Source organism: Homo sapiens, chromosome 9, assembly GCF_000001405.40.
Source record: "Homo sapiens chromosome 9, GRCh38.p14 Primary Assembly".
Classification (NCBI taxonomy): domain Eukaryota; kingdom Metazoa; phylum Chordata; class Mammalia; order Primates; family Hominidae; genus Homo; species Homo sapiens.
Window position 1 is genome coordinate 111755960 of NC_000009.12, and position 13210 is coordinate 111769169.

The 13210-nt window shown below is 35.8% G+C and overlaps 1 protein-coding gene across 16 annotated transcripts in view; it reads right to left on the minus strand.

The window, feature by feature from the left end:
• SHOC1 (shortage in chiasmata 1) overlaps window positions 1-13210 on the minus strand; it is a 108767-nt gene that overhangs the window by 69789 nt on the left and 25768 nt on the right. For 12 of the 16 annotated variants that reach the window (NR_109816.2, XM_006716975.3, NM_001378211.1 and 9 more), the window contains 3 exons: window positions 2736-2889; window positions 2125-2236; window positions 366-519 (listed from right to left, as the gene is read on the minus strand). Coding sequence is in view for 15 of the 16 variants with exons in the window: in XM_006716975.3 (XP_006717038.1) it covers window positions 366-519; window positions 2125-2236; window positions 2736-2889 (420 nt within the window). In the remaining variant the exon portion in view is untranslated. Of the gene's footprint in view, window positions 1-365; window positions 520-2124; window positions 2237-2735; window positions 2890-3196; window positions 3578-13210 lie in introns of those variants that run through there. The other 4 variants (NM_001378212.1, NM_001080551.3, XM_017014340.2 and 1 more) reach the window with 2 other exon arrangements.

Genomic DNA, 13210 nt, shown 5'->3' on the forward strand with positions numbered 1-13210 from the left:
TAAAAATACAAAATTAGCCAGGTGTGGTGGTGCATGCCTGTAATCCCAGCTACTCGGGAGGCTGAGGTGGGAGAATCGCTTGAACCTGGGAGGCGGAGGTTGTGGTGAGCTGAGATCTTGCCATTGCACTCCAGCCTGGGCAACAAGAGCGAAATTTTGTCTCGACAACAACAACAACAACAACAACAAGAAAATGACAATGAGAAAATAATCTCATCAAAAATAATCCTGAGATTTCAACATGTAACTTGCAGAACATTTTTGCAAAATCTGGAGGTTCAGAAAAATTTTAATAAACAAGAACCTATGTAACAAACATTCTTAAGTGGTTTTTACAAGTAATACATTTTACAATTAATTCTCACCTCTTTCAAAAAGCTTTTCCTTTTCATCTACATAGTTTATTATTTCTGGCACTGGGTTTAATAACTCCTTCAGTTCTGAGAGTGATGGAATATCAATTTCTGGTTTGAGGCTTGGAGGTATTAAGAATTCATACTCAATAAGAAAACTTGACGGCTGAAAAAACATAGTTTAAAAAAGTTTTTAGAGAGGCTTTCCAAATAAATATTTTCGAAATCATAAGTGGACAAAATTTGCTTAAATGATGTGCCAAATTTTAAACTAAATCCACATTCAAAATTGTTAAAGCTATATATACTTTAAAAAAACAGAAATGTAGCAGCTAAAAATACGTTCTATTATAAGCAATGTTCTCTCTGAGTATTGTATTTTATGGTCACTCATTACATTAGTGGTGTACAATATCCCTAGATGCAGAAATAGCTTCTTTTTGGCTAATAGCAAATTGTAAACATTTTAAATTAAAAACAGTCACTGCAGTAGATGAGAGATAATAAATGGTGAGAAGTGAAATGAGATCATGGAATGGAATAGATCTTTACTGTGATCCATGGAGTATGTTTCTCTTTCATTCCAACAGAACTTGACTCCTCAACAAGAGAGACTAAGTCCACAACTCTCAGGGTTAACCTGGGAAGCAAGAGGTACTGGAGGAATGGGGCCTATTGGTGAATTAACCTTTTTACCATCATGTTAAAATTTTTATTGTAAGGAAACCCCTTAAGTGCTTTAAGTCCATTAAAATCTCCAAATATAAAACATTTTAAGTTGTCCTAAAAAAATGTTTTTTGTGTTTTGTTTTTGAGATGGAGTCTCGCTCTGTCACCCAGGCTGGAGTGCAGTGGTGCGATCTCACTGCAAGCTCCGCCTCCTGGGTTCACGCCATTCTCCTGCCTCAGCCTCCCGAGTAGCTGGGACTACAGGCGCCCACCACTATGCCTGGCTAATTTTTTGTATTTTTAGTAGAGACAGAGTTTCACCATGTTAGCCAGGATGGTCTCGATCTCCTGACCTCGTGATCTGCCCACCTCGGCCTCCCAAAGTGCTGGGATCACAGGCGTGAGCCACCGCGCCCGGCCAAAAAATGTTTTTTTAAAGTAGCTTTGTGAACGCATCTAATCAATATGGGCCTAGATTTCTGAGCTTGTCCAGCTGCAAAAAGTTATTGCAATCGCAATAGCTAGAATTCTTTACATACTGATATTATGACCATTTTGTGTGCTATTGAAACTAAATGCATCTTTGAGAAGTTTGGCCTTTAATATGCAAAAGATGCTATCATCCTTGTTAAACACTGGCAGAAAACTAAAATTCAGTCTTGGACCCTCTATATTCTTACTCTTGCAATATTCTCATTAGCTCAAGTACTATTTTTTGTGTATAACTCACAAATCAATATTTCTAGTTCAGGTGTCAATTTTTAAACTAGACATGACTACTTAATTTCCTATACCAGGTATATTGATTACAATTATTGGAAGAGATTTTAAAGTTCCCTATGACTGGCCTGCACACCAGACCAATTTATCAGAATATATCTCAGGCTTCAACATTTTTTTTTAACTATTCAGGTAATTCCAACATACAGCCAAGGCTGAGAACCACTATTTAGAAGTAAATTTGACTTCTTAATTGATACATGTTCATTCCATTATAAAATCTTTTTAATTTGACAATTGTAGACAATGTATATTACACAAATTTTACAAAAATGTGCCTCACTACTTTTACTAAAATATTATTGAAAGCCAGTATTACAACCTCATTTAAACATATTGTATCTTCTAGTTTCTCTTGACAAAAGTTCACTTTATCCATACAAAAATCTTCTTTCACAAAAGCTTCCAAAGTTTCTTGAAGAGAGAAACATTCCCTTAAAAAAAAATACATTAATTAGTGTTTACTAAAAGCAAGTTACATACTAAATGTAGCCAACCAAAACACATAATCATTAAAATTAAAGTTGAGGTAAAACGATGATAAAAGTTATTGGCCGGGTGCAGTGGCTCACGCCTGTAATCCCAGCACTTTGGGAGGCCGAGGCGGGTGGATCACCTGAGGTCAGGAGTTCAAGACCAGCCTGGCCAACATGGTGAAACCATGTCTCTACTAAAAATACAAAAATTAGCTGGGCACAGTGGCGCACGCCTGTAGTCTCAGCAAGGCTGAGGCAGGAGAATCGCATGTGCCCAGGAGGCGGAGGTTGCAGTGAGCCGAGATTGCGCCATTGTACTCCAGCCTGGGCGACAGAGCAAGACTCATCTCAAAACAAAACAAAAAAAAACATTGTTGATAACATCTAAGCTTGTGATCATACTAAAACATTTTCACCTCTTAAAAATATTTACAGCATTGGTCAATTAAGTAAGTACCTGGAAAAATTAGCTTCTGTGAAGATCTGTCCTTTGAAATCTAAAAGAGGATCCTTTACCAAAAACAGTTTTAGTCTACTCAAGAGAGTAGGCAAAGTTGGTAGGTGTTTTCTACTACTTACAAAAAGTATTCCTTTATCATCAATAAATAAATCTGAAAAGAAATAAGAAATATAAAGGAATAAGAAAAAAACAAAAAGTTATCCAAAGAGATCTAGATAGTTAATGTAATCAGTCATTAGATACAGCTGGGTTTTTCAATCACATTTTAAACTCTGTAGCTCTTCATTGTACTGTGCATATAGAGCATGTAGCATAGTTCTGGAACAAAGGCAAAAGTACAATAAATTTTAGTATTATCTAGGACACCGAGGAATAGCCAAATATCCCAAAAGAGCTGTAACGGCTAATACTTTATCAATAAAGATTAATCAATGGAGGAAAATATCTTATGGACTTACACTTCAAAATAGCCAGGCGTAGCCTAAGCAAAATTTTAAAGAAATAGAAGTATTTGACTTCTGCTGACCTTGGTCTTCTCTGCATCATTTTACCTCTTAATATCTCCAATTCATCCCCCAGAGTCTCTGACATGTAGGGAATGGAGATGGTCTACAGTGCCTACAAATGAGACTGATTCTATTATTCTTAAGTTATTCACATGGTTGCTATAAAATTATTTACAGTGAAAGTTTTAAGCAAAGAATCTACTTGAGGAGTATGATATAGCTTATGTATTAAGAAACACTACTGCTAACAGTTAATTTCTGGAATAAATTTCTCCTCTCGGTCTCCACCCTGCCTTGTCTGGGTTTCTTTAGAATCTTGGCTAGCTGTCTAACAGCTTTAACAGTTTCTAAGTCACAGGAAGGAACATAAACTTGCCCCCAATTCTTCAATAAGTTTTTGAGTAGAAAGAGAAAAAGAAAAATATAAGCTCAGATGAAGAACTACTCAAAAAGCCAAGTTCCCAAAAAAGAAAGCCATCCTGAAGGGAGAGCAATGGTTTCTCATCCTGGGTATTGACTTTTCGGTTAAGTGACGCTGAATGGCATAAGAAAAGAATAGTACGGAGTTTTCAGGTAGTAATGTCTCCCACGGTTAACTACATAATTGGTATGCAGGCAGCAAGGGAACATCCCTTTGCTTGGTGCTAACTTGATATGCCTTAAGAGAACTTGTGGTATGAACTAGCTTCCTAAAAGAGATTTATCTGAACTTAAGTTCCTGACAATCTCATGGCCAAAAGCTTCCCATGACACACCAAAGGAAGTTAGTCAATCAATTCCATGTCTAAGGAGGGCTTATCTGAGACAGTTAAATATGGTTTACTGGTATAATCCATTCTGTAAGTATTAATGAAATCACATTAATAGTAAAAACCCAAACAGCATTAATTTATATCCTATATCCACCTTCTGCTTCTAAACAGATCCTCCAGCCATCTTCCCTATCTACAGCCTCATTCTGGATATTTCTGGAACTAAATGGCTGACATCTGAAGTCAGTTATATGGTCTTGTTTTCCATCCACCCTTTTTTGATGAAACCACTTGAGGGCAGCATCACACCACAACTAATATTCTTTGTAATTCTACCAAGGTTGTTTATAGCAAGAGTGCCACTTCCTTACTTTCTTTGAGTTATACAGCATGCCCTGGAGTTCTTATTTTACTACAGCTAATACATGTACTATACAGATATAAGGAGACTGTTTTCTTCTATTGTAGAGGAATATTAAATTGTCACCAGGAAACAAAATTTTGGCTAGTTAACTATGAAAAGAAGCAGAAAAAGGTCTACTAATATGAAAGAAGAGAGGTTTATTCTTTACAAAGGACACTTTTGTCTCCCTAGAAAATTCAAGATAATGAAATGAAAACAAAAGAGTTCACTAAGTTATCTGATAAAAATTATACAATTAATGTTTTTTTTTAATATATAAAAACTTGGTCATAAAAATTAATGGAAAAAACATAAAAATACCAATTTGTGAACTATCAAGGACTAAACATAAAAATATTCAGAAAGTATATGCAGGAAATGATAGAACTTTATTGAAGATCATTTTTTTAAAAATTTGAAAAAAAGGCAAGATAAAAAACACTTTCCTAGCTAGAAAGACTAACTATGGTAAAATTTTAAAGGATCCCATTACCATTTCAAGAGGTCTGTTTTAGAACTTGGAAAAGTGATTACAAAGTAAATCTGGAAGAATATAGTTATGAGAGTAGAAAAAAGTAATAAAATAGGAGATTATTTATATATTATAATTATACATTTAATAGTTAAAATTATATGATACTGACACAATAATAGGCAAAATAGATCATAATAGAAAATCCAGAAATGAATTCTAATGTGGTTAAGGATTTAATATATAATGTGAGTGGCATTTCTAATCAGTGGGAAAGAAAGGACTATTTCATAAATGATATTGGGGCAATTATCAAAAACACTTGGAAAAAGATTTTTATTCCTACTTTTAAACATACATCAAAATCTAAAATAAAACTAGGCACCTTCAGCTGGGCCTGGTGGCTCATGCCTGTAATCCCAGCACTTTGGGAGGCTGAAGTGGGCAGATCACTGGATGTCAGAAGTTCGAGACCAGCCTGGCCTACATGGCGAAACCCCCTCTCTACTAAAAATACAAAAATTAGCCGGGCTTGGTGGTGGGGACCTGTAATCCCAGCTACTCGGGAGGCTGAGGCAGGAGAATCACTTGAACCTGGGAGGTGGAGGTTGCAGTTAGCTGAGATCACACCACTGCACTCCAGCCTGGGCCACAGAGCAAGACTCCATCTTAGAACAAAAAACAAACAAACAAACAAACCTCATGCACCTTCAAGAAAATACAAACAAGTATTTATCTAATTAAGAAAGAATTTTCTAAGTATAAAAGGAATGAAAGAAACCATAAAAGAAAACAATTGGCAGAATTGGTTAGGTTCAAGTTAAATATATTTGGAGTTAATACCTTTACATATAAAGATAAAATATATGTCAAAATATAAACAAAAGAGAAAATCATTTCACAAAACAAAAAGATGCAGATGGCCAATAAAGACCAGTAATTCTATTAATTTACTTTTTTATGCCCAGCTTGTCAATAACAGAGATCACCAGTAATTTTAAAGATGTAAGTAAAAATATAATTTTTTTGCCCATCACATTGGTTTAAATGTATTACCACAACATCAGCAGTAATATATTCAATGATGATAATACTGGCATAAACAGGGCATTCTCATACCATACTAGTGGACATATAGCTAAAAAAGCACTTATACTAAATAGATCAATTTCTAGGAATTCATGCCAAGGAAATAATTGGAAATAAGAATACATATTTATATACATATTTGAAATTAAAAACATTAGTGGTCTCAAATTTGGAAATGTGTGATATGTACATAAGATTAAAAACTGCAGTCATTAAAAGCCATGCTTTTGTCTAGCACGGTGGCTCACACCTGTAATCCCAGCACTTTGGAAGGCTGAGGTGGGAGGATTGCTTGAGCCTAGAAGTTTGAGACCAGCCTGGACAACATAGGGACATCTTGTCTCTACAAAAAAATTAAAAATTAGTCAGGCATGGTGGCACAGCTATGGTCTCAGCTACTTAGGAGGCTAAGACAGGAGGATCACTTGAGCCCGGGGGTTTCAAGGCTGCAGTGAGCTGTGATTGCACCACTATACTCCAGCCTGAGAAACAGAGTCTCAATTTAAAAAAAAAGAAAGAAAGAAAAAGAAAAAGACACGCTTTTGTGGAAAAATCAAGCATAAAATAAAATATTCCCAAGATCATGTTAATATTTAAAAATAATATCATGTATATATAGTATGATCACAATAGTAAAACAATTTATCTTTGAATTATAGAATTATGAGTTTTTAGTAAAGGGACATTCTATATATTTAAGATGTAGATATCTTAACCTATGTAGAAAAACATAAAATTCAATCCTCATTCATGATTAAAAGCTGTTATCAAACTAGGAACAGAAGGAATCTTCCTCAACCCACTAAAGGAAATGCTTCTAATATTTCACCATTGAAAATGACATACACATGAAATGTTAGAAGCATTTTCTTTACCATCAGAAATAAGATAGCAACCATCATGCTTCTACCGAACAAAGTTCTAGCGGTTTTAGTCAGTATAGTCAGACAAAAAAAAAAGATTAAATATTGCAAAGGAAGAAACAGCCATCATTCACAGACAATATGATTATATATACTAGAATTAGTTATTGGAATTACTATGACAGTTTAAGAGGTAGATAAATATGATAACACTATAAAAATCAACTGCCTTTTGTTATATACAAGCAATAAACAAACTTATATTAGAAATATAAATAGTAATGGCAGCTAAAATAGAGTACTTATGGATAAATCTTGGATACATAACCTATTTCTGAAGAAAATAAAAAATATATAAAAAATAAATGATATATAAAATCTTTATGAAGAAAAATTTTAAACTTTTTTGAAATACATTAAAGACCTCAATAAATGAACAATAGGAGATTCAGGAGAGAGAACAAGAGAAAATTATCATCAAAGAAATAATTCTAGAAAATATCTTAAAATTGAAGTGCATAAAAGTATCTACATGGAAGGATACACCATGTATCCAGCCTAATATATAACAATAGACCCACAAAGCACACGCCATTGTGAAATTTCATAACACTGGAAGAAAAATATCATTAAAATTTTCAGGATGAAAAGATCTTATAAAAAATATTTAGGAATCAGAATGGCATTGGACTTCTCAACAGCAATATTGGAAGCTAGAATCGAATGGAACAATGCCTTTGAAATTCTGAGAAAAAAATATAATCTGGAATCTATAACTAGTCAAACTATCAATTAAATGTGAGGATAGAATTAAGACTTTTTGGATATGGAAGATTAAAAAAAATTTACTACCTACATTCCTATTCTCAGGAGGCTGTGAGTGGAAGTACTGTACTAAAAGGAACGAAAAAACTGACTAAACTGGCAGCTACAAGGTTGAAGAAACAGGAGGCCCAATACAAGAAAGAAGTGAACAGAATCCTCAGGGATGATGGTGATAACGACTTGTTCTAGAACTAAAATCCCCAAAGATAAAACTATTGGTACACTTGATGCTTCAGTGTATTAAGAGGAGATTTAGACAAACAGGGGAGAGTTTCAGGATCAAGTTCTATGTACTAAATACATAGAAAACAAAACAAAACAAAAAAACAGAAAACAAGCATTAACACGGAGTACAGTAATCTCCTCTTATCTGAGGTTTCAGTTACCCACAGTCAACTGCAGTCCAAAAATACTATATTGAATGGAAAATTCCAGAAATAGACAATTTATGCCTTAAATTGCACGGTGTTGTGAGTGGCATGATGAAACCTAGTGCCATCCTGTTCAGTCCCACCAAAATGTGAATGATCCTTTTGTCCACTGTTTCCACACTGATATGCCACCTATTCATTTGTCACTTAGTAGCTGTCTCAGTTATCAGAACGATTGTCCCTGTATTGCAGTTCTTGTGTTCAAATAACCTTTGTTTTACTTAATTCTCCAATTTTATTGTTAGCTATTTATTGCTGTTAATCTCTTACTGTGCTTAATTTACAAATTAAAATTTATCATTGGTATGTATGTATAAGACAAAACATTGTATATACTGTATAGGGTTTGGTACTATCAGTGATTTCATGCATCCACTGGTATTTTGCAATGTATCCACTGTGGATAAGGGGGGACTATTGTACAATAAAGAAATTATTGAATAACACAATACTATTTTCAGCTACAAATAGTATTTATGCATTCATAATTCTGTAAATACAGAATACTGATCTAACCAAAGTTATAACTACATTGGGAGAGTAGACCATAGGAAGTATGGGGGGAACGTGGTAGTGAGGGTATAAAAGATTGAGGACAGCAACATCTTTATTTTCATGGTGAGAGGTCAATATATAAGGTCTAAAACTAAAAACATCAGGAAATAGCAGTATAAGCATGTCATGCAGATAAACAAATGACAAAAGGAATATAGTTTCTTTTAAAACTGTTTCAAAGAGTTAAAAGTGGTTGCCTCTAGAGAGTGAAAAAATAAGGGGTGGTTGATGAAGTCAGGAAATTACTGCTTTTAAGAAAAGTGTTGGCCATGCACGGTGGCTCACGCCTGTAATCCCAGCACTTTGGGAGGCCAAGATGGGCAGATCACCTAAGGTCAGGAGTTCGAGACCAGCCAGGCCAAAATGGCGAAACTCTATCTCTACTAAAAATATAAAAATTAGCTGGACATGGTGGCGCATGCCTATAATCCTAGCTACCTGGGAGGCTGAGGCGGGAGAATCACTTGAACCCGGGAGGCAGAGGTTGCTGTGAGCCGAGATCACGCCACTGCACTCCAGCCTGGGCAACAGAGCAAGACTCCGTCTCAAAAAAAAAAAAAAGTGTTATACAACCATTTTAATTGATGGTGTGGAAAATATAAAATGACACAGAAAAGTGTTTATAAAATCTAAGTAAAAAACACTAAAAAGCATACAAATATTACCTTTGGCTGAAGATAACAAAGAATTATACCAAAGATTAACTCAAAACTCTGGGTTTTGGCTGGGCACAGTGGCTGACGCCTGTAATCCCAGTGCTTTGCGAGGCCAAGGTGAAAGGATCACTTGAGCCCAGGAGCTCGTGACCAGCCTGGCCAACATGGGGAAACCCTGTCTCTACTAAAAATACAATGGGTGTGGTGGCATGTGCCTGTAATTCCAGCTACTCGGGAGGCTGAGGCACAAGAATCACTTGAACCCAGGAGGCAGAGGTTGCAGTGAGCAGAGATTGCACCATTGCACTCCAGCCTGGGCGACAGGGCAAGACTCTGACTCAAAAACAAAACAAAACAAAACAAAAACAAAACAAGCTTGACAATATTTTCAGGGACCCAAGTTCTTTCCATCTTTCTTTTTGTATTTTTATATTTTGAGGTAAAATATGCCTATTAAAATTTACCATCTTTACTTTTTTTTTGAGACAGAGTCTCACTCTGTCACCCAGGCTAGAGTGCAGTGGCACGATCTCGGCTCACTGCAACCTCTGCCTCCCAGGTTCAAACAATTCTCCTGCCTCAGCCTCCCAAGTAGCTGGGATTACAGGTGCACACCACCACACCCAGCTTAGAGGCAGGGTTTCACCATGTTGGCCAGGCTGGTCTCATGATCTGCCTGTCTTGGCCTCCCAAAGTGCTGGCATTACAGGCATGAGCCACCGTGCCTAGTCCATCTTTACTATTTTTAAGTGTACAGTTCAGTGGTAATAAATACATTATGTTCTTTTTTCCCCCTCATCCCCCTTCCCTACTACCCTTCCCTGCCTCTGGTAATCACCATTCTACTCTCTAACTTCATGAGATCCACTTTTTTAGCTCCCACATGAGTGAGAACATACACTATTTGTCTTTCTGTGCTTGGCTTATTTCACTTAACATAAAGGCCTCCAGTTCCATCCATGTTGCTGCAAATGACAGAATTTCATTCTTTTTTGTGGCTGAATAATATTCCATTGTGTAGATATACCACATTTTGTTTATTCATCCACTACTGGGCACTTAGGTTGATTACATATCTGGCTATTGTGAATAGAGCTGCAATAAACATGGGAGTGCAGATGTCTTTTTGATATAATTTCCTTTCTTTTCCAGAAGTGGAACTGCTGGATCATATGGTAGTTCTATTTTTAGTTTTGCTGAGAAGTCTCCATACTGCTCTCCATAGTGGCTGTTCTAATTTACACTTCCACAAATGGTGTACAAGAGTTCCCATTTCTCCACATCCTTGCTGGCATCTGTTATTACCTTTTTGATACAAGCCATTTTAACTTGGGTGAAATTTCATTGTGTTTTTTTTTGTTTTTGGTTTTTTTGTTTTTGAAATGGAGTTTCGCTCCTGTTGCCCAGGCTGGAGTGCAGTGGCGCAATCTTGGCTCACTGCAACTTCTGCCTCCTGGGTTCAAGCAATTCTCCTGCCTCAGCCTCCAGAGTAGCTGGGATTATAGATGGCTGCCACCACGCCTGGCTAATTTTTGTATTTTTAGTAGAGACAAGGTTTTGCCATGTTGGCCAGGTTGGTCTCAAATGCCTGACTTCAGGTGATCCGTCCAGCTTAGCCTCCCAAAGTGCTGGGATTACAGACATGAGCCACCACGCCTGGCCAGCTCATTGTGGTTTTGATTTGCATTTCTCTGATGATTAGTGATGTTGAGCATTTTTTCATAAATCTGTTGGCCATTTCTTCTTTTGAGAAGTGTCTGTTCATATCTTTTGCCCATTTTTAATTGGATTTTTTTTTTTGCTATTCAGTTGTGTGAGCTCCTTGTATATTATGGTTATTAATCTGTTGTCAGATGGATAGTTTGCAAATATTTTCTCCCATTCTGTGGGTTGTCTCTTCACTTTATGATTGTTTCTTTTGTTGTGCAGAAGCTTTTTAGCTTGATGTAAACCTGTTTGTCTATTTTTGCTTTGGTGGCCTCTGCTTTTGAGATCCTATACAAAAAATCTTAGCTCAGACCAATGTCCTGGAGCATATCCCCAATGTTTTCTTCTAGTAGTTTCACAGTTTCAGGTTTTAGATTTAAGTCTTTGATCCATTTTTATTTGATTTTTGTGCATGGTGAGAGATAGGGATCTAGTTTCATTCTTCTGCATATAGTCTTCTAGTTTTCCCAGCACCATTTATTGAAGACTATCTTCTCATTGTATGTTCTTGGTGCCTTTGTCAAAGATGAGTTAGCTGTAAATGACTGGATTTATAGTGGGGTTCTCTATTCTGTTCCATTGGTTTATATGTCTGTTTTTATGCCAGTACCATGCTATTTTGGTTAATATGGCTTTGGAGTATATTTTGAAATCAGGCATTGTGATGCTTCCAGCTTTCTTCTTTTTGCTCAGGATTGCTTTGGCTATTTGGGGTCTTTTGTGATTCCATTTAAATTTTAGGGTTTTATTTTTCTATTTCTGTGGAGAATATCATTGGTATTTTGATAGGGATTGCATTGAATCTGTAAATTGCTTTGGATATTGTTGTTATTTTAGCAATATTAATTCTTTCAATCCATGAGTATGAAATATGTATCTTTCCTTTTTGTATGTCCTCCTCAATTTCTTTCATCAGAGTTTTATAGTTTTTCTTCTACAGGTCTTTCACTTCTTTGGTATTTTGATAGGGATTGCACTGAATCTGTAAATTGCTTTGGATAGTATTGTTATTTTGGCAATATTAATTTAGTAATATTCTTTCAATTCATGAGTATGAAATATTATATCTTTCCTTTTTTGTGTGTCCTCCTCAATTTCTTTCATCAGAGTTTTATAGTTTTTCTTATATAGATCTTTCACTTCTTTGGTTAGAATGATTTCTAGGTATTTTATATTTTTTGTAGCTATTGTAAATGGCATTGATTTCCTGATTTCTTTTTCAGATTGTTCACTGTTGGTGTATATAAATGCTACTGATTTTTGTATGTTAAATTTTTTTTTTTTTTTGAGATGGAGTCTTACTCTGTCACCCAGGCTGGAGTGCAGTGGTGAAATCTCAACTCACTACAACCTCCGCCTCCAGGGTTCAAGTGATTCTCCTCTAGCCTCCTGAGTAGCTGGGATTACAGGTGCACACAGCCACACCCAGCTAATTTTTGTATTTTTAGTAGAGACAGGGTTTCACCATGTCAGGCTGGTCTCAAACCCCTGACCTCAGGTGATCCACCCACCTTGGCCTCCCATAGTGCTGGGATTACAGGCGTGAGCCACCGCGCCCAGCCATTATGTTGATTTTGTGTTCTGCAACTTTACTGAATTCACTTATCAACTCAGTTTTTTGGTGGAGTCTTTGGGTTTTTTAAATTTTTGTTTCCAACTATTATTTTAGGTTCAAGGGGTAACATGTGTTACATGGGTAAATTGCATAAATCTTTGTTTTTTCTAGCTATAACATCATGTTATCTACAAACAAGGCTAATTTGATTTCTTCCTTTCCAATTTGAATGCCCTTTATTTCTTTCTCTTGCTCAATTGCTCTGGCCAGGACTTCACGTTTTATGTTGAATAAAAGTGCTGAAAATGGACATCGTTGTCTTATTTCAGTCCTTAGAAGAAAGACCTTCAATTTTTTCCCATTCAGTATGAAGTTAACTATCATATATGGCCTTTATTGTTTTGAGGTATGTTCCTTCTATACCTATTTTGATGATGGTTTTTATCATAAACAGATGTTGAATTTTATCAAATGCTTTTTTCAGCACCTATTGAAATAATCATACGGTTTTTATTCTTGATTCTTTGAATGTGATGTGTCACATTTAATGATTTGTATATGTTGAACCATCCTTGCATCCCTAGGATGAATCCCACTTTATCATGGTGAATGATCTTTTTTATGTGTTGTTGAATTCAGTTTACTAGTATTTTGTTGA